This window comes from Homo sapiens, chromosome 14, assembly GCF_000001405.40.
Source record: "Homo sapiens chromosome 14, GRCh38.p14 Primary Assembly".
In the NCBI taxonomy this organism is placed as follows: Eukaryota; Metazoa; Chordata; class Mammalia; order Primates; family Hominidae; genus Homo; species Homo sapiens.
In genome coordinates this window covers 95,675,401-95,698,954 of record NC_000014.9, presented here as the reverse complement: position 1 = coordinate 95,698,954, position 23,554 = coordinate 95,675,401, and the positions used below count along the sequence as shown (strand labels likewise).

Here is a 23,554-nt window from a genome sequence, read left to right as displayed (position 1 = left end):
AGTGGTATAATCTCGGCTCACTGCAAGCTCCGCCTCCTGGGTTCAAGCGATTCTCCTGCCTCAGCCTCCCGAGTAGCTGGGATTACAGGCACCTGCCACCACGCCCAGCTAATTTTTTGTATTTTTAGTAGAGACGGGGTTTCACCATGTTGGCCAGGATGGTCTCGATCTCCTGACCTCGTGATCCGCCTGCCTTGGCCTCCCAAAGGCTGGGATTACAGGCGTGAGCCACTGCACCCGGCCCAGGTTTTTCTTAATAAGGACTTCTCTGCTCCACAATAAATTTTCTTCATGTTTTCATCTATCCTTTTGTCATTTCCTTTGTTTAAATCATGAATCTATCTGGAATTTACTTCTATATGAGAAATGAAGTAGTGATCCAACTTTTTTATGCAAATGGCTAGCCAGGTCTCAATGATGCTGTTTAGTGACTAATGTATCCTTTGGCAGTGCTTTGAAATGCCACCTTGATTGTGTAAGGGAGGCAAAATTTCACCTCTACCCTCTTAGCATTTTCAGCTGGGCTAGAGAATTAAATTGACATAAAACAGATTCATAGGAGAAAAGCATATTGATTTAATGTAAGTTTTCTGTGACACAGGAGCCCCTCATAAGGAAACAAAGACCCAAAGAAACAGAGTTAAACACTGATTTTGGACAAAGAGTAGTATATTGTGGAAAATGTGACCAGGAAAGGGGCCTCGGGCTAGGCAAATTCCTTGTGGCTAAAGGAGAAAGGTTCATTTATGATGTTAGTTTATACAGAATTCTCTCAGCCTCAACTCCCAGCCCCAGTGATGAGTGTCACTTTCCTTCTGATGGAGGAATCTTCCACGTGGAGGTTTCTCTCTTGCTTTCAGGAAGAGAAAGGAGAAGGCAGAGTGCCCTTCGTGCATCTGTTGTTTATCAAGGGCCATTATTAGCACAAAATCGTTATACCAGAGTGGCATGTTGTACCTGCCTTCACTCGTGTGCTGAATTCCCACTTGTGTTTTCAGCTCTCCCTCAGCCTCTTCCGTTTTCACTTCTCTTGATGCCTGCACCTGCGTGACTACCCACCAGGGTTTGTTGCTGCAGCTTTGGGTTGCTTGTTGATGGCTGCTAACTCTAGTCCACCCTCACAGCTCTCCTCGTTCAGATTTTTCCCAGCTTTTCTCACATCTTAAATTCTCCATATCAATTTGAGGTTCAAATTGTCCAGGTACAAAACTCTTAAGTTCTTTGTTGTGATTGCATTACATTTATAAATAGGCTTAGGGAGATATTATATCTTTGCAACAACGAAGCCTCCGATTGATTTAGACAATGCTTTTCCATAGCCCTATGTACCACTAAGAGCTTTACAAATACTAACTTAGCCCGATATGTTAATCTGCACAACAGCCCATGAGATGGCTACTTTTACTGTCCCTGTATTACAGATGAGGAAACTGAGGCATAGAGGTAAATTGTCCAATTCACATGACTATTTTAAGATTTTTAGGTTTATTCAAGACTTGTTTACTGTCCTTCAGAATTTTAAAATTTGCTTCATATAAGTATTTTACATTGATCACCCATTTTTTTTTTCTAACTGACTCATGTCTATATACAAGAAAACTGTTGGGTGTTACATGTTAAATGTATAAACACTTAACTTGTTGAATTCTCTTACTGGTTCAAATATATTTTGGGAAGGTTGTTTTTCTTACGTAATTCAGAAGGTCTGAATTGCACCTGTAGAGCTTTTATCATTTTTCTGAGACAGGGTCTCACTCTGTCACCCAGACTGGAGTGTAGGGGCGTGATCTCACCTCACTGCAATTTCCGCCTCCCAGGCTCAAGCGATTCCCCTGCCTCAGCCTCCCGAGTAACTGGGATTACAGGCGTGCGCTACGACCGCCCGGCTAATTTTTGTATTCTTATTAGAGACGGGGTTTCACCGTGTGGGCCAGGCTGGTCTCGAACTCCTGACCTCAAATGATTCACCGGCCTCAGCCTCCCAAAGTGCTGGGATTACAGGCATGTAGCCACCACGCCCGGCCTTTTAGAGCTTTTATGTGGCCGTTCTGTTTATTGTTCTACGACCTCTCCCAACTGTCCCCTGTGAAGGATGAGGAAACAGCATCCTTGTGCTTCCTCTCTCCTCCTGTCCATATCTGCTGCTGCCAATTTTGGTTAGTTTTCTTATGAGTCTTAATTCTAGCTTTTCCTTTAAATAATATGTTCCTAGCTCTGTGACTTGATCTTTCAACTGTATTTTCTGGACTTCCTTCCACGGGAAAACCTATGTACTTTACCTCTACCTTCTTTCTCCTCCCCTTCCCAGTGTTTGGAAACACTGTTATTTTTGTATTTCCTGGAGGTCAGGAGGGTGGGACTAAAAGTTCCAATCCTGTAATCACATGGTAGGTTGAAAGGGGTTTATTATGAAGAACAAAAGATGCTCCTCTCACTCCTATCACTTAGAAAATTCCAGAGGCTTCAGGAGCCCTACGCTGGGACCTGGGGATGGAGACCAAATCTATATTTCTTATTGTATCACAATGTTACAGAAACGTAACAGCAAAAGGAGCCTGGGCCAGAGCCTCTGGGCCCAGGCAATGCGAAAGAGCCCACTACTGAAGTGGCTACTTTGTCTGGGGTATATACCCTGGAGTTCCTTGTAGGACGCAGACACACACAAGGAGTTTAAGAGCAGAGGTTTAATAGGTTGAAGAGATGAGAAACAGAAATAGCTTCCTCTATAGAGGAAGGGGTCTCCAAGTGGAAAAAGGACAGTTTGAATGCTCTTGAGTTTCGTGGTCCAGTTGAGGAAGTGGTATCTGATTTGTTATGTATGGCTCACAGATTAGTTTGGGTGGGGAAGGCTGGTCACTCACACGGATCTTATGCCCCTGGGCTTTCCAGTTGATTGGCCCCATCTGGTCTGCTCCTTAAAATACATGTGGCTGGCAGAGAAGTCTGCCATCTTGAATGTGTCTAGTCCTTAGTTCCTGCCAGCATTCACCCATGAAAGCTCCCAGCTTGCAGGCTGCTATTTGTTAGAAAACGATTGGCGCTGCTTTCATTAAAAAGAAAAGCCTTGGCCAGGCATGGTGGCTCATGCCTGTAATCCCAGCACTTTGGCAGGTGGATCACCTGAGATCAGGAGTTCAAGACCAGCCTGGCCAACATGGAGAAACCCCGTCTCTACTAAAAATACAAAAAATTAGCTGGGTGTGGTGGCGCATGCCTGTAAACCCAGCTACTTGGGAGGCTGAGGTAGGAGAATCGCTTGAACCCAGGAGGCGGAGGTTGCGGTGGGCCGAGATCGCGCCATTGCACTCCAGCCTGGGAAACAAGAGCGAAACTCCGTCTCAAAAAAAAAAAAAAAATGAAGAAAAGCCTTACCGGGGACTCTCACGCCCTTGCTATCTGCCTAAATAATTCCTTTTTAACTCCCATATCACTATGGTGAGGTGGGGTGAGAGGTTCCCTGGAGCGCATCTTCTGTGGGGCACCGCCATGCCACATCCAGCACCAATGCCAAGTGCCAGGGCAAGCTGACCTCAGCAGAGGCTTGGGTGTGGACCACCCAGATGGCAGCTGGAAAGGGGTCACAGCTAACAGTTGGGGCAGAACAAGTAGTAGGATCCCAGGTGAAGCCAAGTCACCCAGACCCTGGGAGTCACCAGGCACAGACTATGCGTTGTCCTGCTGCAGACCTCAGCAGTGAGGCCAGGAGAGCACGCAGACCACCAGCAGGTGAAGGACAGCACCCAGGAGGGGCAGCAGATCCCAAAGTGTGACTCCCTGGGGACCAGCTGGGGGCTCGGGGCCCCTCCCAATGCTATAGGACTAATAGCGCTCTAAGGTCAAGGAGCAGAGGTATCCTAGGTGGCAGGGACAAGGGCCTATTTCCCAAGGAAGAAGCAGCACCCGAGCTCTACTTCCCAAAGAACTGATGACTTCCTTCCCTAATCCTGGGAGCCTGAAACTTCCCATATGAAACTGCCCCCCTTGCAGTTTGCATGCTGGGTTCTGGACAGAAATACAGTTATAATTAAGCATTGATCAGGCTGCACTTAGACCCACTTTCTTGTTGCTGAAAGTCACGTAGCACTCTAGATAGTGACCATTTGCATATCCGATGTTTCTACAGATAGGATTTCTGACTTTAGGATTATAAGACTGACTGTTTAATAATTTATTTGTATCCCCTTCGTTCCTATAGACAGGATCTCTGACATTAGAATAAATCACTTAAGATGTTTTTCAGAGTCTGAATTCCAGCAACCAGTTTGAAGACTGCCACAGAGGAACAGATCAGTATGAGAATACAGCTGCTTCATCTCCCTGTCCCATGTCATCCTGCACTTTTCAATCAATCAACAATCTCCACTGGCCCAGTCCTACTCTCTGGGAGATGGATTTGAGGTTTCCTCCTATCCCCTCCTTCGGTGACCCTACCATTCAACTGCTTTCTCTGCTGCGACCCAGTGTTGGGATATGTGCGCATTTGACAACAAATCTATTACAGTTACATATAGACCCCAAGTGTCCAGGCACTGGACGGCTGGCATTCCCAGACCCCACCCACCTGGTACCCAGGAAGTCTGTGCAGCCTTCATCATTGCACTTGCACCCAGCCTGCACTATAAGAAGGCAGCTAAGGGACTGAATTCTCTCTCCTGGATGCAGACACCCACTGGGTATCCAGCAGAGCCGGCTCCTTTCTGGGAGGCACATTTCTGTGGGTAGGAAAACAATGTCTCCTTCCCTCTCTGGCTTTGTAAATTTCCCATTTAACAATAAAAACCTTTCCTAGGCCAGGCGTGGTGGCTCACACCTGTAATCCCAGTACTTTGAGAGGCCAAGGTGGGTGGATCACGAGGTCAGGAGATTGAGACCATCCTGGCTAACACGGTGAAACCCCGTCTCTACTAAAATTACAAAAAAATTAGCCGGGAGTGGTGGCGGACACCTGTAGTCTCAGCTACTCGGGAGGCTGAGGCAGGAGAATGGCGTGAACCCAGGAGGCGGAGCTTGCAGTGAGCCGCGATCGCGCCACTGCACTCCAGCGTGGATGACAGAGCGAGACCCTGTGTCATCATGAAATCCTTATGTTGACTGGGATGCATGCTGCATGACGCACCCTCTCCTGCATACCCCCGACTCAGGCCAGTGGGAGGGAAGGCAGGCTAGGGGAAGAGGGTTCCTCAAAGACCAGGCTGCCAGATCAACATAAGCTTCTCAGCAGAAGGTACAATGCCAGCCTGCAGTGCTCACCCAGCTCCTGCTCACGGGGCCTCCCTTTAACCATGCCAACACTGTGGAATCTGAACTCTTACCACAGTGCTCTCTCTTCATACCTCTTGTGTATACCACATGTGCAAGTGTTTATCTAGGGTAGTGATTCTCAGCCCGGGGCAATTTTGCCCCCTCAGGAGGCATTTGGCATTTTTGGTTCTCACAAGCTGCGGTCAGGAGATGCTTCTGGCATCCAGTGGGTGGCGGCCAAGGATGTTGCTAAACATTCTACAAGGCACAGGACAGCCCCTCCCCGCAACACCACTGGGCTTGAGCAAGCCTGCTCCAGGCAAACACTGGCGTGCCTTATATACCATGCTAAATTGTGATTGATGCTTCCTAATATTTTGTCATACAGAAATGCTTCACTTGAAAAAGTTTGTCTTACACTGTCTTTTGCTTACACCTGTGATTTACTTGGGTTTTTCTGTACCCCACGTTCATGAACATATTTCCCCAAACTTTCTATGAATGCTTTTACAGATTCATTTTGTAAGGTTGGGATTTCAGCCCATGGGTGATTTTTTCTTGTGAGCGACATGAGGGAGGGAATCTCTTCTCCTTGCCACCACTGCATGGTCACCCTGACCTGCACTGTATCGTCCTCTTCTTCCTGGTCACAATGGTGGCACTGCTCAGTGCCTTGGCCCCCTGCCTCATCCCTCCCTGCTCAAGGACTCTGCTCCTCTGTCATGTCATACTCTCCCACACATGGGCCCTTCCTCCCTTGCACCTGCATTCTGCATCTCCTGCAATGACATGCTGTTGCATTGTCTCGCTTTGGGAGCTCTCCCTTGCTCCCGGTTCTCCTGTGACCACTACGGGCTTTCCTGCCCTTTCACAGCAGGGCTTCACCCAGAGCCCGCACGAGTCTCCTCCCCTTCCTTAACTCCCGCCGACGTCCTGCTGCTGAATGGACCAATCACAATTTCCTTCCCAGTGTGGAAAAATATGAAATGGATCATTAAAATGTTACCTTAACATTTCGGTACCAGAAGCTGCCATTTCTATGCTAGAAAGAGGTCAAAGAGAGGCTCCAATTCAGCACAAAAGTGGACAGTGAGCAATAAAGTTTAATTAACCAGTACTGTGAGGTCACCTTCACGGACTAGCATCCCTTCCGTGAGCTGAAGGACTGAATAAGCAGAAGCACAGGCCAAACCCATCCCTCCATGCTCCCCACTGTGCAGATGGGCTCACTGAGGCTCTGGTGTACATTGCTTGCTCAGCACTGGATCTATTTCGGGCCAAAGTGTCAGCAGAACTGATACCCACAGGGCATCCAAGTCCACATCCAGACTGGGCTCCCTCTAATGCCATCTCTTAAACCGAACCACTGCCTGCCGATGGTGAGTTTCCAATCACGAGCTGCACTGGGGGTGCTGGAGGCCTGGCTGGGCACACATCCTGGTGGGTATGAAGGGGATTTGGGAGTGGCATCTAGAAGATCAGCATGAGGGGCACAGAGGAGAAAGAACCCACAGCTTGCAGCCAGCAGGGGAAACTGGCTCAGCACACAGACAGGGCCCCAGTGAAGCCCATCCAGGCCAGCTGCCCTAAGTACAGACCTGAGTGGGACAGGACAGGACTGATAACTAAGGAAAACGAGAGAAACTGAGTGTGCAGGGGCCCTACTGCCTTCTGCCTGCAAGGAGGCTATGCTGGGTGTGCAAACAGAAGAGCAGGTACATGAAGATCCTCACTGAGGGGGCATGAGGAGACACCAGGCCAGAAGAGGCAGGGCCAGCAGGGCCTGCGAGAAGACCAAAGGAGACAGTCAGTGAACTATGGGGGAGCCCGGCACCCCATCCAAGCTGCTGGGGTCAAAGGCAAGTCCAGTGCCAGCCCCTCCAATGGCCCAGGCCCTGCCTGGCCTGCTCCAAGCTGCTGCCCATCTGAGAGGAGCCCTCTATGGGTCAGTGCTGGGTCCTCCAAGGCCACCGTCACACGGCACCTCAGTGCCATGGTTAAATCTAGGGACCCGAGATCACTAGATTCACCGCTATTTCCTGGCTGTATGGTCTCGAGGAAGTCATTCCCATCCCCAGAGTCTTGTCTTTTCGTCGTGAAATGGGACATTAACACGTACACCTCACAAAATTCTCACAAGGATTAAATGATGAGTCTTATTCGATGAGATCCCATGCTTTAGGAACTTATTATGGGGGCCCACCCACTGTGTACCATCACATCCAAGGGGCTGGGGAACAGAGGTGACAGGTGGCTATGTAAGAAAAATCTCAGCAAACAGCAGGGAGGAGGAGGCCACGCCGTCTTTCTGAAAAGAGGAGAGGTCTTCTCACTTTCGTCTGATCCCTACACTGAGACGCACAGGGCCCCAACATACCAGCCACTCCCAGTGTCAGTCTTTCCTCTCCGGCTGATATGTTAGGACCAGCTGCTCCATAGAGTCAATCTGCAGGAGAGGGAGCAGCCATCAGAACCTCTGGGAGATGCTCTTCCAGTTGGCCTTAACGGCCGCCCATGCAGGCTGGCAGCAGCAGCAGGCAGGGGTGAGGCAGGTGGGAACTCCAGCTTGTGGATTTCCCTAGCCCAGGGAAGGCAACCCTCCCTCCCTCACCCACTCTGCCTGCATCCCACATGGGAACTCATGCACCGATCCACCCACACACACTCAGGCCTCCTTGAAGGAAGACTTGAGCAACAGGAAGAGGACAGACAAGAACCCCAAGGGGGCCAGGGGCACAGAAGAGAGAGGGCCACGGCAGTCACCAGGGGCCACCTGTCGCTTTCACCTAGAACCACCACACACTTGCCTGGCCATGGTCTGCTATTTCCCAGAAACTGGAATCCGCTGCTCGGTACTTCCTCCCGGGGTAGAGCTGCCACACGGCGGGCAGCTGGGAGAAGGGCATCTGGCCGGAGGAGAGTAGCTCCCGGGTATGCACTGCCATCTGCCACAAGTGCACTGTGATGCTGGGTTCATACTGAAGGGACCAGAAAAGAGGCGGCAAATCATGGATAGGGTTCCCTGCCAACTGGGCTGCACACAAGCAATGGCCAGTGGGCTGCCAGGGTCAGAGGTAAATGTTTTCAGAATTCCAGACCAAGAGCCTTGGCACTGGTACTTGTGGCTCCATCTAGGATGGCTGGGGCCCTTCTGGCCCCCTCTGACCTGCACCCTGCCTCGCCCCACTGCAATCCCCAAATTTAGCCACTGTTTCCAACCTGTCAACACCTTGGGTTAAAGCTGAGTATTCTCTTGGGGCTCCATCTCTGCCATTGCCGTAATTTTTTAAATCTTCGTTTTAAAAACAAGATATCCATGGACTCTGGATCTGAGGGTGATAGATTTTCCCGCCAAAATATATGGCAGTTCTGATCATGACCTTCACACACTTATAGTAAATATACGAAATAAGGCTGGGAGCAGTGGCTTATGCCTGTAATCCCAACACTTTGGGAGGCCAAGGCAGGAGGACTGCTTGAAGCCACGAGTTCAAGACCAGCCTCGGCAACATAATGAGACTCTGTCTCTACAAAAAATAAAAAATTAGCTGGCCATGGTGGCATGTGCCTACAGTCCCAGCTACTCGGGAAGCTAAGGTGAGAAGATTTCTTGAACCTGGGAGGTAGAGGCTGTTGTAAGCTATCGTCAGGTCACTGCACTCCAGCCTGGGAGACAGAGCAAGACTCTGTCTCAAAATAAATACATAATAATAAAAATAACAAAATTAGGCTGGTACTGGAAGTTAGAAAGATGATAGGAAAAGTAAAACCAAAGCTTCCTACGTTATGCAACAAAATGGAAAGTCTTTTGCACAATTTTCTAAGTATTTGTCTTCTTTTGTGATAAAATGTCTTTTTGAATTAAGAATATTAGTGCTCTATCAATCAGACATGTTGTGAATAATTTTTCTCAGTTTGTCGTCCTCACTTTTTTTATGGACTGCTTTTGCAAAGAGAAGTATTTTAAATTATACGGCAAAATCTCTCCTTCTCTGTGTATTCTGACTGTAGATCAGAGATCAGCAAACTAAGTCTGGCTTGCATCTGCTTTTGCAAATAAAGCTTTATTGTAAATAAACTAAGGCTCCTTCCCTCATTCCTTTACCGTTGCCTTTAGCTGCTTTTGCACTGCAATAGCAGAGCTGAGTAGCTGCAAGAGCATAGCTCTCCAAGTGGAAAATGTTTACCATCAGATCCTTTACAGAAAAAGGTGGCTGATCTTTGCATTAGATGTGTCGCCCAGGAAGCCTAATTCCCACCCTAAGACATCGATCTATTTTTAAGAAAGAAGGGGAAAAAATACTTACTAAGTAGGTCCCTTATCCCACCCGTGGCTAAGTTATTTGAAGAATCCATTCTATTTCCACTGAATCATTTAAAAAAAAAAAAAATCTTAACTGTTTTTTTTGTTTTGCTTTGTTTTGTTTGAGACGGAGTCTTGCTCTGTCGCCCAGGCTGGAGTGCAGTGGCTGGATCTCAGCTCACTGCAAGCTCTGCCTCCCAGGTTCAAGCCATTCTCCTGCCTCAGCCCCCCGAGTAGCTGGGACTACAGACGCCTGCCACCGCACCCGGCTAATTTTTTTGTATTTTTAGTAGAGACGGGGTTTCACCGTGTTAGCCAGGATGGTCTCGATCTCCTGACCTTGTGATCCGCCCGCCTCGGCCCCCCAAAGTGCTGGGATTACAGGCGTGAGCCACCGCACCCGGCCAACTGTTTTTAAGAGTACAGTTTGGTGGCATTAAGTGCATTGACATGTGGAACCGTCGGCACTATCCACCTCCAGAACTTTTTATCTTCCCAAACTGAGACTCCGTACCTGTTACTAACATTAACTTCCCATCCTCGACTCCCTCCAGCCCCTGGCAGCTACCATTCCACTTTATGAATGAGACCACTCTGAGTACCTCATACAAGAGAATCTGTCCTTCCGTGACTGGCATATTTCATTTAGTATAATGGCTCCAAGTTTCATCCGTGTGTCTGACTTTTAAGGGTGAATACTTCATGGTTTGTGTTGTTTACCCATTCATCTATCAATGGACACTGGGGCTGCCACCACCTTTTGGCTAGTATGAATGATACTGCTGTGAACATGGATGTATGAATACATGCTTAAGTTCCGGCTTCAGAGTCTTGTGGGTATATATCCAGAAGCGGCATTGCTGGATTATGCCGTAATTCTTTCTTTGAGAAATCCTCATCCTGTTTTCCATAGTGGCTGCACCATTTTACAGTGCCCTCCATTAACACTTTTTCAGGCTTTTGAAAAACTTAAAATATTTGCTCCACAATTTTTGCATGCTTTATTTAGTGTATGTACAGAAAAGCCTTTCCATGTTCTCTACCAACATTTTTTGAAATAACCTATTTGAACTTTTTTTAGGAAATGTGTTATATTGTTTAAAGTGTCAGTGAACTGGCTGGGCGAGGTGGCTCACCTGTAATCCCAGCACTTTGGGAGGCCAAGGTGGGCAGATCACTTGAGGTCAGGAGTTCAAAACCAGCCTGGCCCACATGATTAAACTTTGTCTCTCCTGAAAATAACAAAAAAAATTAACTGTAAAAAAAAATCGCCTGTAATCCAAGCTACTCGGGAGGCTGAGGCATGAGAATCACTTGAGCCTGGGAGGTGGAGGTTGCAGTGAGCCAACATCACACCAGTGCACTCCAGCCGCAACAGAGCAAGACTTTCTCAAAAAACAAACAAACAGGCAGTGAATTGTTTACGAAGACCTAAACGGCATTTTTTTTTTTTTTTTTTGGGACGGAGTCTCACTCTGTCACCCAGGCTGGAGTGCAGTGGTGCGATCTCGGCTCACTACAAGCTTCGCCTCCCGGGTTCACGCCATTCTCCTGCCTCAGCCTCCCGAGTAGCTGGGACTACAGGCGTCCACCACCACGCCCGGCTAATTTTTTGTATTTTTAGTAGAGACGGGGTTTCCCCATGTTGGCTAGGATGGTCTCGATCTCCTGATCTCGTGATAAGCCCATCTCGGCCTCCCAAAGTGCTGGGATTACAGGCGTGAGCCACCGCGCCCAGCCCTAAATGGCATTTTAAATATCCGGATATGCTTTTACCACATTACACTAAGGTACAGCCAGCCCCCCATTTCCATGGATACTGCACCCATGAATTCGACTAACCTCAGATTAAAAATATTTTGGGAAAAAAAGAAATTCCACAAAGTTCCCAAAAGCAGAGCTTGAAGTGATGTGTAGGTGTAGCATTAGGTGTTATTAGTAATCTGATTTCAAATATAGTAGAGGATGCGCTGAGGTTATATGTAATTACTACCCAGGTCATTTTCTATCAGGGACTTGAGCATCCACAGTCGGTCCTGGAATCAATTCCCCACCGCCACCCACACCAGAAACGCTACTGTATTTACTTCATCCCTCAAAGACTGGCTGTGATCTAAAGCCCTCATCTACAGCCGTTTCCTGAGTCATTATCATTATCACCTGGGGAGCTTTTGAAAAGTAAAGAATCTAGGACTCCACCCAAGCCTCCTGAATTAATTTCCAGAATCTGTTATCAGTCAAATGCTTCCCCAGGCCATTCAGGCGGTGAGCCATGTATGTGAGCATGTCTGTGACTAGCTTGCCACAGAGGTATATTATTCTCATTTTGCAGATCAGTAATCTGACACCAATGTCATGTTCATCCTGTTGGCCCACCTGGTGCCTCCAGGCTGCAATGCTTTTGCTTATACTACTCCTGCCTCCTTTCTAGACCTGGAGAACTCCTACTCATCCCACAAAGCCCAGCTCAATAGCTGCCCCATTTGTGGGCCTTCCCAGCAGGCACTGGGAATGGCACTAAGCCCTGAGCTACCTTAGCCTCGGCTTCACCACGCAGGACCACATTATCTCATGTGGATAAGCTTGTGCCTGTGGTCCCTTTACGGGGGGTGTTCCTGGGGCCAGGGCTGGGCATGGACATTGCTGCGCTCCTAGACCTGCACAGAAGTGAGTTTTCCAGTGCGGGTGAGAACGGCCCCCTCTGACCCCCACCGCGGTCCCACACGGGCAGGGGTCAGTGCGCAGCCCTCCCCACAGCCTCCCCTCGTGCCCAGGACTCACTCTGCTGCCCTGGGAGGCCCTGGCCCATTCCCTACGCGAGGGATTGAACCGCACGACCACAGTCACCCAGGTTCTCCCCTCCTCATCTTCGTAGATGCCAGGCCTCTGGATCCACAGACGGCCAGGGGGCACCCCTAGACGCACAGAAGCTTCGGAGGCCATGGCAAGTCTGCAACCGGGACCCGCCTCTAGGCTCACACGTGTAGCTTTCCAGCTGCGCAATCTCCTTAAATGGAGCAGCTCCGGCGTGGGTGGGGCCCGGGCCGGCAGTGGGGGCGGGGCCGGCAGTGGGGGCGGGGCCAGTCGGGGGAGGAGGGGGAGGAGGAGGAAGGGGGAGGAGGGAGGAGGGAGGAGGGAGGAGGAGGAGGGGGGAAAAAAGCAACCTGCAGCAGGGGCTAGGCAGGGACGAGGCCAAAGAGCAGCGGAGTTAGGAACCCGGCCTGGGTCTCCTGGAGGGGCTGTGGCTGGACCGGCAGCTGCTGGAGGCAAAAGGGCGGCTCCCGGGGATAGAGCTGCCCAGGCTTCACCCCAGGCCTCTGCAAGGAATTTGGCTCCTAAGACCTATTCCACCTCCCTTCCACTGGTCCCAGTCCCTCCGCAGCCTCCTCCCTGAGCACCCCTGCCCAATTTTCTGTCAGGTGATTCCCCTCCTTTGCTCCCCACGACCCCCTGCCAACCATCCTGCCCCAGATCCTGAGCTGGCATGCACGACCCTGGTCTCTCCTATCCCTGTGGCCATTCCTTTAACAGGACTCTGTGTCAGGGACCCTTCTCTGAGCTTAGAGCTTAGAGGCATGGGGGGCGGGGGGCGCTGTAACCTCAGTGGACTCTTGCCCCTGGAGGTATCTGGTGAAGGCGCATCCTGCACAAATCAAGCTCCCTCTCCTTAGAAAATAAGCCAGTGCACTATCAGCATCTGAGCTCAGGATCAGATAAAGCCCACAGAAACAAGGCCACCGGAGGCCACGTGGCCACCTGGCCAGCCCATCCTTGGCCATGGGGCCCAGAGTGCCCACTTGGCCTGGTCGTCTTACTTGCTCGACTTTGTCAAGAGGCCTCAGAAGCTCAAGAACATAGCAAGAAGCAGGTCCGTTCTATAAGCACCCTGGGCTGCTTCTAAATGCACCATGAATAGGAACCTTTTCCTTTTGAAAACCACAAGCATGATTCTTCTAGTTCAAGTGAAGATTAGTATTGAGATGATGCCATTCTGCTGGGGAGATGTGAAAATGATTTCTGGACAGTCCTGATCCAGTGTAAATGGCAGGTAGGATAACCACTTTTGAAGAACTCCCTGGGCAGCTTCTGTGGAGGACTGAGTCTTGTTTTCACAGCAATTCCACCTCCATCCCCAGTGTTTTTCCAAGGAACCAACACTTGGGGTGGGAATGGAGTGGGCCAGGAAGACAAGGGACATCACAGTCTCATATAATGTGATCCATACATGGAATCACGTACGTGTGTCACCTTTGCCATATTCCATTGGTCAGGGGTAGGTCCTATCCTTACTCAAGGTTATGAATACCAGGAGGCAGGGATCATGGGGACCCCTGGTCTCCTGGGCCCCCCTGAAGCCTGTTTGCTGTAGGTACCTACCCTATGGGACTCCTCTGAGGATCAGATGAGGCTGTGTGTATAGTGTTAAAGCCTGACACATAGTGAATACTTGAAATACCCTGGTCAATAGTTATGTTCTCAGACTAGTTCCCTCTCCCAGGCAGAATCCATCATTCCTACCCTTGTAACCCCAATGCAATTGCTATTTATCTCTATCATTTTCTGTTGCAAATATATATTTTGATATTCTCAACCTCACTCCCTGATGGGCAGGTGTGTGGCTGTCAGTGGGGTTGGAGGTAAAGGTTGCCTAATATGTGGGGAGCCCCTATGCCATGTCAGGCATTTTTCATAGGGTATCTCACTAACACCTCCCAACAACTCCATAAACTAGAGACCGTCACCCCCATTTCATAGATGAAGTATCAGAGGCTTGAGTGGCTTAGCAACCTGAATGAAGTGGGTAGCAGAGGAAGGATATGGACCCAGCTGTTCCTGGCTCTAACATGCATGCTGCTTGTTGACTGCCTTGGCCAAGTTTGGCTCATTACATGGAAGAGGCAGAACCTGGAGTAGGGAGATCCACAGTGGCTACTGTAGAAATGGTGGTGGGGTCTGAAGATGGAGACTGAGAACACCTTGCCATGAGTGGGTGGTCAGAAGGTAAGCAGAGGTCTCCATAGGCAGAAAGAAATAACTACCAGTTAGCCTCAAGGTGGAAAATAGATTGCTTCACCGATCACCCTCTTTGGCCAGGTCTCCCATCCCTCAACCCTTGGACCTGGTATGAAAAAAGCCACGGAGCTGCAGGTGACAACAGTTTGGTTCCTGGTCCTTCAGCTGGTCTTTGTCCATGTCATGTCTGAGATAAGTGAGATAAGGCTATGTCTTCTGGCCAAGTTGTCCATCTCTGGTACCTGTGACCTGAAGGATTCACTCTCCGGGGTAGGTGTCACCAATGTCTTTGAGAACCACTTTGATCTCTCCAGAATTGCTCCCAGGATTGCCTGGTACTGATGGTGCACTCATGCCTGGGCCCAATGCTCTCCTCCTCCAGCAGAGGGAGCCCTTCACAAGCCCCAAGCCCTGGGGACGTTGAGGCTGGACACCCACTTGCCGGAAGGATTCCAGACCACAAACAAGGAGGCGCTGTGCAGGGCTTGGAAGGCTGGGTAAGAGTCACTGATACCTCTGCACATTTCTGTTCAGCTCCTCCTAGGTACTGGGCCAAAATGGCAGGGCAGACAAGATGCCAAAGGCAGACAGCCTAGACAGGGCATGGTTTAGATGGAACTGGCAAAGTTGTCCCACCGAGTAAGCAGCATGAGTAGACCTGGAGGAGAGGTAATTCAGGGTGTGTCTGGAGATCAGGAATAATGAGGATTATCCAAGCTCATATGATAAAGAATAAGAATGTGGTGGTGGTGGGGGCAGGGGTGGTATTGATGCTCCATTGTAAGCATCAAACACGCCAGTCCCAGCAGCTGGTTTTGAATGATGAGCAATGAGTGTTTGAGACAAGGAGTGACATAAGTATGCACTTAATGTTAGAACTAATGATAAAACCAAAGAGTGGCTTAGTATCAAGTAGATCATGACTACTAGAGAAAAGACTGGATGGGGATTGTGCAGATAATAACAAAAACAAGAACATCCAAGTTCCAGCTCTGCTTATTTCAGACAGTGAGCAGAGCAAACTTGCAAAGTGGTAAAAGAAAGTCAACCCAACCACGGAACTGAAGAATGAGGGTTTAGGAAAGTTTTGCTTATGTACACTATTTTCTTCTAAAGATTTTATTTAGATTAATTTTTCCATGTTGATATCCAATTAATGCCAATTATTTAAAAGACTATGCTTTGTCTACTGTACGGTATTATCACTTCTGTCATAAATCTGGGAACATTTATGTATGAGTCTGTTTCTGGACACTTTTCTATTCCATTAGTCTGTTTGTCTCTCCTTGTGTTGATACCACATTGCTAATTACTATAGCTTTAAAATAGGTCTTTATATCTTATTGTAAGATTCTGTTTCTCTGGAGAACCCTAATATAGCTATTCTCTTCCCTTTACATATCCATATGCATTTTAAAATCAGCTTGTTAATCCTCCCCACCTCCAAAAGCCTGCTAAGATTGATTGGGATTGTGTTGAATCTATAGGTATATTTGAAGAGAATTAACATCTCCAACATATTAAGACTTACGATCCGAAGCAATTGCATAGTGTATCCTTCCATATTTTGGGTTGTCTTTAACTGTTCTCTCTGATTTCATTAAATTAACTCTTAAGTATTTGATTGATGCTATTTTAAATGTCATTTCAAATTATGTATTATGTTTGTTGCTGTTATAAAAAAATGCAACTGGTTTGTGTGCATTGACACTATATCTAAGACCTAGATAAATTGACTTAACTCTAATAGTTTATCCACTATTTGAGGAAATGTCTTAGCCATTGTATCTTCAACTATTCCCGTCTCATCCTTTCTTTTCCTCCCTTTCCCTCTCTTTCAGTGACTCCAATTACACATTGTCAGACCCTTTAAACAAGTGTACCGTGCTCTCTATGCTCTGTTCTTGTTTTGTTTCCTTTTTTTTCCTCTCTGAGCTTCAATGTTGATGTTTTCTATTAGTTTATCTTCCAGTTCACTAATGCTGACATCTGCTATAACCAATCTGCTCTCAAACAATTCATTTCTTTGCTGCAAATATTATATTTATTAGTTCCAGGATGCCCATTTGATGCTTTTTTTAAAGATTAAAACTTTATCTGATAATCTCTACACTCTTAATCATTTTGTCCATCATTCTATTTCTTTGGACATAATCATGGTTACTTTAAAGTTCTTGTCTAATAACTCTGGTTTACTGGTGGGCCTCCTTCTATTGTCTACTTTTTCTCTTGGTTTTTAGTTAAATGGTCTTTTCTCTTGAGTAATATTTAAAGGAATGCCAAATATTTTGTATAAAAGCACTGGAAAGACTCTAGCGTTTTCCCCCCAAGTAGAGTTAACCCTATTCTCTGCTAGGCAGATAGAGTGAAGTATTAAACAGTTTAATCCCAATAGGGACTAAACTGAGTCAAGGTTAAGATGCAGTTTGGATAAGAATCAGTCTATCCAGCCAGGCACAGTGGCTCACTTTGTAATCCCCACACTTTGGGAAGCCAAGGTGGGTGGATCGCTTGAGCTCAGGAGTTTGAGACCAGCCTGGGCAACACAGTGAGACCCCCATCTCTACAAAAAAATATAAAAAGAGCTGGGTACAGTGGTGCATGCCTGTAGCTCCAGCTGAGGCTGAGGTGGGAGGATCACTTGAACCCAGGAGGTCAAGGCTGCAGTGAGTCAAGATTGAGCCACTGCACTCCAGCCTGGGTGACAGAGTGAGACCCTATATTAAAAAAAAAAAAATTGCCTATCTATCTCTAGTTTGCCCTGCTCTTAGAGTATGACCCTCAATCAAGAGTCTGGTAGGTCTTTGTCTCAGCACTGTGAACAAAATTCTCTGGAAAGGAAACTGGAGGAAAGAGACTTTATATTCCAGTGAATAGTTTGCAAACCAGGGAGATGCAGCCTTCAGTGTAAAACAAGATGTGTTCCAGAGCACAAAGGGAGGGTTGGGGTTCTGTAGCAAAAGTTTCCACCCAGGTTCCCAATCAGGTCCATTTATGCAAATGAGAGATTCAGACTCAGGTAGTTCCAATTAGTTGATACAGCTGAGCCTTGATTGGTCAAGGCAGGTGGGCTCTGATTGGTTGGTTTAGGCGTGCTCTGAAAGTCACCAAGTCAAACAGAGGTGTTGGATTTCTGGGAACTCAGGAGTACCTATGTGATTTCTAGTTAGCAGATGGCTGCTTGGCTGTATTTTACTATTTCACATTTAGGCCTCGTTAGCCACTGGGGATCTTTCTGTCTTTTTTTTTTTTTTTTTTCCTTTTGAGATGGCGTCTGGCTCTGTCGCCCAGGCTGGAGTGCAGTGGCGCAATCTCGGCTCACCGCAAGTTCCGCCTCCCGGGTTCACGCCATTCTCCTGCCTCAGCCTCCCGAGTAGCTGGGACTACAGGCGCCCACCATCACGCCCGGCTAATTTTTTTGTATTTTTAGTAGAGACGGGGTTTCACCGTGTTAGCCAGGATGGTCTTGATCTCCTGACCTCGTGATCCGCCCGCCTCGGCCTCCCAAAGTGCTGGGATTACAGGCGTGAGCCACCGCGCCCGGCCTAGGGATCTTTCTTGAAAGATTGGCTCTTTCAGGTTCACATTTGTTCATGACACTAAGAGACTGCAGGAAATTATTTTCCTTTTGGGGGTTTTGGCTTTGCTCTTCAGCATCCTGCCCTGAACTGCTTCAAATTGTAAAAAGCCTGTGGAGAGAGGGTACTGGCCACGCATTTGAGATTCCCTCAAGTCTCCACATTTGTCCAGCTGCACAAAACTCACAGCTAATGTTCTCAGGAAAAAGCAGCTGCAGATGCCTGACAGCAGGGGTCAGTTCACCTGCTCTCCAGCGTTTTCAGCTCCTGCCAAGCTGTTCTCAGGAACTCCACCCCCTGGTGAGCCTTTGTCTTCTCAGGAGACCACAGGGAGCCTGGGCAACACGGTGAGACCCCACTCTACAAAAAATACAAAAAGTACCCGGGAGTGGTGGCACGTGCCTGTGGTCCCAGCTACTCCGGGGCTGAGGTGGGAGGATCACTTGAGCCTGAGAGGTCCAGGCTGCAGTGAGCTGTGATTTTGCCACTGCATTCCTGCCTGGGTGACAGAAAGAGACACTGCCTCAAAAAAAAAAAAAAAGACCACGGGAAATTCCACTCTACTTTCCTGAGGTCTTCAGCTTAGCCTGTCAGCCTCTCACATCACACAGCTTCACAGTTCAGCACCTCTGAAGGAGGAAGCTGGCTGGATGTTTGAGGCCCCCCCAAGCCTCTAATTTGATGACTCCACAGCATCCCCCGACTGGACTCAGCACCAATTTCAGTCTTTGCCCAGGATTATCAAATGACAGGAAGGGAAAGGCATCTGCAGATGCTCACCTCTGAGCTGTCCTCCCTTCTCCAGAATTTTACTTCCTCTGGCCCTTGTTGCTTCCATAGCTCCCCGATGGTTTGGAAAATACAATCTTTATTTTTATTTAGATTTTCCATAGCGTGGCTGTAGTGTTACCAGAAAGGGGTCCCAATCCAGACCTCAAGAGAAGGTTCTTGGACCTCATGCAAGAATTTGGGGCAAGTCCATAGGCTAAAGTGAAAGCAAGTTTATTAAGAAAGTAAAGGAATATAGAATGGCTACTCCATAGGCAAAGCAGCCCTGAGGGCTGCTGGTTGGCTATTTTCATGGTTATTTCTTGATTATATGCTAAACAAGGGGTGGATTATTCATGAGTTTTCCAGGAAAGGGGTGGACAATTGGAATGGAGGGCTCCTCCCCTTTTAGACATATAGGGTAACTTCCTGATGTGTCCATGTCATTTGTAAACTGTCACGGTGCTGGTGGGAGTGTCTTTTATCATGTTAATTTTATAATTAGTGAATAATCAGCAGTGAGGACAACCAGAGATCACTTTTGTCGCCATCTTGGTTTTGGTGGGTTTTGACTGGCTTTTCTTATCACAATCTGTTTTATCAGCAAGGTCTTTGTGACGTGTATCTTGTGCTGACCTCCTGTCTCATCCTGTGACTTAGAATGCCTAAGCTCATGGGAATGCAGCCCAGTAGGTCTCAGCCTTATTTTACTCAACCCCTATTCAAAATGGAGTCACTCTGATTCAAACGCCTCTGAAAGTAGCATTGGCCTGTTGCCAACCACTTCATCTCACCCTAAGAGAGGGAGAGCTGTTTTTTTTTTTTTTTTTTTTTTAAGGTAGAAGGAATTAAATTATGTCTTTGTGCTGATGGAATTGATGCTGGAGAGACTGGACTACAGGCAAGGTATAAACTGAAGTGGTGAGAGCCCAAGGGGATGACTTGGCTTGAAGGAAGGAGGGGCTCTTCTTCCAGTGTAACTGAAAGGAACAAGGAGAATCGGCTCAGATGCAAGTAAGGGTTTTAGGTTTGGGGGCAAGAAGATGAAATTCCTTTCCTCCACCTTTCACAACATGAAATTACAAATGGTTATTTTGTAATTTTCTAAGACCTAACCTTGGAAAATAAACACGTGAAAATATTAAGAATATGTTTATGACCTTCGATAGGGATGATCTTCTTAAAGATGACAAACAAAGCAAAAGTATGACTTTTTTTTTTTTTTTTTTTTTTTTTGAGATGGAGTTTTGTTCTTGTTGCCCAGGCTGGAGTGCAATGACACCATCTCGGTTCACCATAACCTCCGCTTCCCGGGTTCAAGCAATTCTCCTGTCTCAGCCTCCTGAGTAGCTGGGAATACAGGCACGTGCCACCACACCAGCTAATTTTGTATTTTTAGTAGAGACAGGGTTTCTCCGTGTTGGTCAGGTTGGTCTCGAACTCCCGACCTCAGGTAATCTGCCTGCCTCAGCCTCCCAAAGTGCTGGGATTACAGGTATGAGCCACCGAAAAGTATGACTTCTTATGACAATACATGAAGTTTTAAAAGTGACCAGAGTAAGAGAAGATAGTAACAATATATAGCAAAGTATTAGTTTCCAGTATATGTAATGAACTCTTACAGATCAGTAAGTAAAGCGAATAACCCATTGGAAAAATAGGGAACAGCTAGAATTCACAGAAAAGGAGATGAAAACGGCCAGTTGCTGTATGAGAAGATGTTCAATCTCACAAGTAATCAAGAAAATGCAAATTTTAAAAGTGAGATACATTTTTAAAATCTATAGTAGTGCCAAACAAAAGCACTTGGCAATATCAAATGTTGGCAAGTGGTGTCGTTTGCCTTATTGACCAGGTCCCTTCTTCACAAGGAGCTGGTGAGGGAGAACCAGGCTCTTCCTCCCGTGGCCACCCTAGCCAGTCAGTTTCCACAGAACTAACACACCAGGCTGGGCAGGCCAATGCAAGTTTCTTTACTGAAAGGTGGGTCCGTTTCAAAAGGACAGTTTGGACACAGAATAGACAAACATTAGAGTTTGAGAGTTTTCCCTTGAGTTTTGCAAGACAAAACATCTAGTAACTTCAGTATTCACCAGGAAAAATTCCCCAGTGCCTCTCCCTCCAGCCCTTTCTCCTGCCTGCCTTCAGGATCACCCCTTGTCTCATAGGTTTTCATTTTTCAGTTCTCCTTCTTGGATAGAGTCTATCCTGCCCACAGGTGAGCCCTCTCTTCCCATGCCAAATTTCCATCTAACCCTTGGTCTGAAGCAGGTGCAGGCTTCAGCCAGGTGGAAGCTGCTGGGTGGGTGCTGCCTAGCCTTTGACGGTTGGGTAAGGAGAAGCGGGGTGAAGTTAGGGTGATGGGCTCCAGTCTGTTGGCCAAGGTTGAGCCTGGCTTCTCTCATTCAAGTTTCCTCATTGGCAAGAACTGTAAGCCTGCCAGTTCTTTTATTAATAGATCTATAAAGTTGGCACCTCTCCCAAGGGCAGATCTTTTCTCCCCCATAGGACAAGACAGTCTAAAACCAAATTGAGGAAACAACACTTTCTCTGTTAGCACGGGCTCGTCCTGCCCTTGCAAACTTTGGTCTCATTATTGGCAGAGGGGCTTTTGATTTCTCCCCAGCTCCACTGAGAGGGGGTGGGGAGAGCTGGATTTATCTTTCATAGCTGAGCTTTGTTGGAAGAGGACCAAGGGATAAATTCATTCAGCCCAGCCATTCTTTCTCCTTCCCCAGACACATGGAAAAAGAAGGTTCCTACAATGGAATAGTATTTTCCATTTGCAAATGAGTTAGGAAGCCAGGGGCACACAGCATCAAGCCTATGGCAGAACTCTTGCCTCCCTTTCAGTCAGAATAATTGTCTCCCACCTTGTATTCAGACTTTTGTTATCACATCAGCCTCACTCTGACTTGGCTTACAGCGTGTAGGTTTATATTGCCTGGATCCTATTTCAGGGTTTCTATCTCTGTCTCCATTAGACTCTGGCTCCCGAACAAAAAGGGGACCTGGAATATTTGAAAGTGAAATGGGAGAGTTCCCTGACCCCTGTCCCATGATGTGTGACAGGGGCATAGCTCTTATGTTCAGCCGCCACATCCTCAAACCCCTTACCGGAGGGGGAGCATGCAGACGGGCAGGTGCAGGAGCCAGGGCAAGCACTTTTTGGGCTCCGGACCCATGGCAGCACCTATGGGTGGGTGTCTGCAACTCCCAGAGTCCAAGTGGGCACATGTTACAGCGTTCTGTTAGCCTTGCTGTCCGTGGATGACTTAAGTGTTAGACAGTTCACTGGACCTAGGTCTTTGTCCAATGTCCAGGAAGAATCAGGTCACACATAAACTTGAAGGATGAATGCAGCGGTTTCACTGAGTGGTGGAGGTGGCTCTCAGCAGGATGGATGGGGAGCTGGAAGGGGGATGGAGTGGGAAGATGATCTTCCCCTGGAGTTTGGCTGTCCAGTGGCTAATCTCCTCTCCAACCGCCCCCAGCCAAATTCCTCTCAACATTCAGATGTTCCTTTTCTTCTCTCTGCTGTGCCATTCTGCCATTCTTCTGCTCTTCTGTTTGTCTCCTCATCTGCTTCTGGAGCCTGGGGTCTGGGGTTTATACAGGTATAGGATAGGGGACATGACGGGCCAAAAGGCAACTTTTGGGCATGAAAACAGGAATGCCTCTTCCCATTTAGGGCTGCAGGTTTCCAGGTTTGAGGGTAGGGCCTTTGCCAGGGAACCACCCTCTTCTACCCAGTATTTCTGGGTCTCCTGTCTGTATCAAAAGCATATAGGATTTGATGGTGAACAGTCCCAAATCCAAAGGTTAGTTCTACATCTGACTAGTTGTGTGACTTTGACCTTATAAACTTTTTGAACTTCCTACTCCTCACCAGTAACACAAAAATGCTATCTACCTTACTATGTTGTAAGAAATGGTAATCACATTTGTAAAGTCCCTGGCACACGGTAGATCATCAATGATAATTTATCAGCTGGGGGACAGAGACCATTTCTTATTCATCTCTATGTCCTCAGCATCAAACCAGTGCCAGAAACATTGGAAGGGCCCAGAGAGTATTTGTTGGATTGAAATATCCTTTAGTCAAATTGTTTCCTGGGTCAAAACAGTTCTAGCCGAGTTCAACATGAACCCAGAGGTGTGCTGAAAATATAATTCATTCTGACTCTCTTCCGCCAACTCCTCATAGAAAATGTACTCAGGAATGAAAGTGTTCACAGCAAAACAAAGGCCCTGGGTATTGAGAGTTTGCAGTGAAATAGAGAGGTCTGAGGGGTCAGGAGAAACAAAGCATCAGTCCGCACAGACGGTCCCCTGGGGTCTCTGTAATTATCATGTCTTCTTTTGCAGCTCTGCTGTGTGACTGGTCTATTTAGGTTAGCAGAGTTGCCGAGGTGAGAGGTGCACTCTGATTGGCCATGGAGGCTGCCCTTGTGTGCCTGGAGCTTTTCCTGACCATGGTACAAAGCTTCCTCATGCAGTGCATGAAGATCCACCTGCATCTTCCCTCTGCTGCCTCTCCCTCTGGCCCTTTGGGCTGTGGTTTTAAATGGTTCTTCATTTAATCCATCAGAATGACCCAGAAGGAAGCAATTGTTTGTAAATGGGTCACTCCCTCAAGTGTGGTGGCAGC

The 23,554-nt window shown here is 47.7% G+C and overlaps 1 protein-coding gene across 1 annotated transcript, besides 3 other annotated features; it reads right to left on the bottom strand.

Moving 5' to 3' along the window:
* Positions 1,049-1,138: an enhancer, noted in NCBI's record as "active region_8971". NCBI's record gives its function as "activates an Ori minimal core promoter by ATAC-STARR-seq in GM12878 lymphoblastoid cells {active_cell/tissue: GM12878}" and the evidence as "EXISTENCE:reporter gene assay evidence [ECO:0000049][PMID:35858748]".
* Positions 2,683-2,752: an enhancer, noted in NCBI's record as "active region_8970". NCBI's record gives its function as "activates an Ori minimal core promoter by ATAC-STARR-seq in GM12878 lymphoblastoid cells {active_cell/tissue: GM12878}" and the evidence as "EXISTENCE:reporter gene assay evidence [ECO:0000049][PMID:35858748]".
* Positions 2,763-2,812: an enhancer, noted in NCBI's record as "active region_8969". NCBI's record gives its function as "activates an Ori minimal core promoter by ATAC-STARR-seq in GM12878 lymphoblastoid cells {active_cell/tissue: GM12878}" and the evidence as "EXISTENCE:reporter gene assay evidence [ECO:0000049][PMID:35858748]".
* On the bottom strand, positions 6,327-12,529 carry TCL1B (TCL1 family AKT coactivator B). Its single transcript, NM_004918.4, has 4 exons — positions 12,326-12,529; positions 8,049-8,219; positions 7,619-7,687; positions 6,327-7,024 (listed from the first exon to the last, which is right to left on the bottom strand). The coding sequence occupies exons 1-3, from the start codon at positions 12,485-12,487 to the stop codon at positions 7,634-7,636; spliced, it is 387 nt and encodes a 128-aa protein (NP_004909.1). The 5' UTR covers positions 12,488-12,529; the 3' UTR covers positions 6,327-7,024; positions 7,619-7,633.
* Positions 12,530-23,554: the final 11,025 nt, after the last annotated feature.

Coding starts and splice junctions, on each gene's coding strand:
- TCL1B (NM_004918.4), bottom strand. CDS start 12,487: ATGGCCTCCGAAGCTTCTGTGCGTCTAGGGGTGCCCCCTGGCCGTCTG. Junction 8,220..12,325: donor GGGCCTCCCAGGGCAGCAGA/GTGAGTCCTGGG, acceptor TGGTCCCTTCAG/TATGAACCCAGCATCACAGT. Junction 7,688..8,048: donor AAATAGCAGACCATGGCCAG/GCAAGTGTGTGG, acceptor CCTCTCCTGCAG/ATTGACTCTATGGAGCAGCT.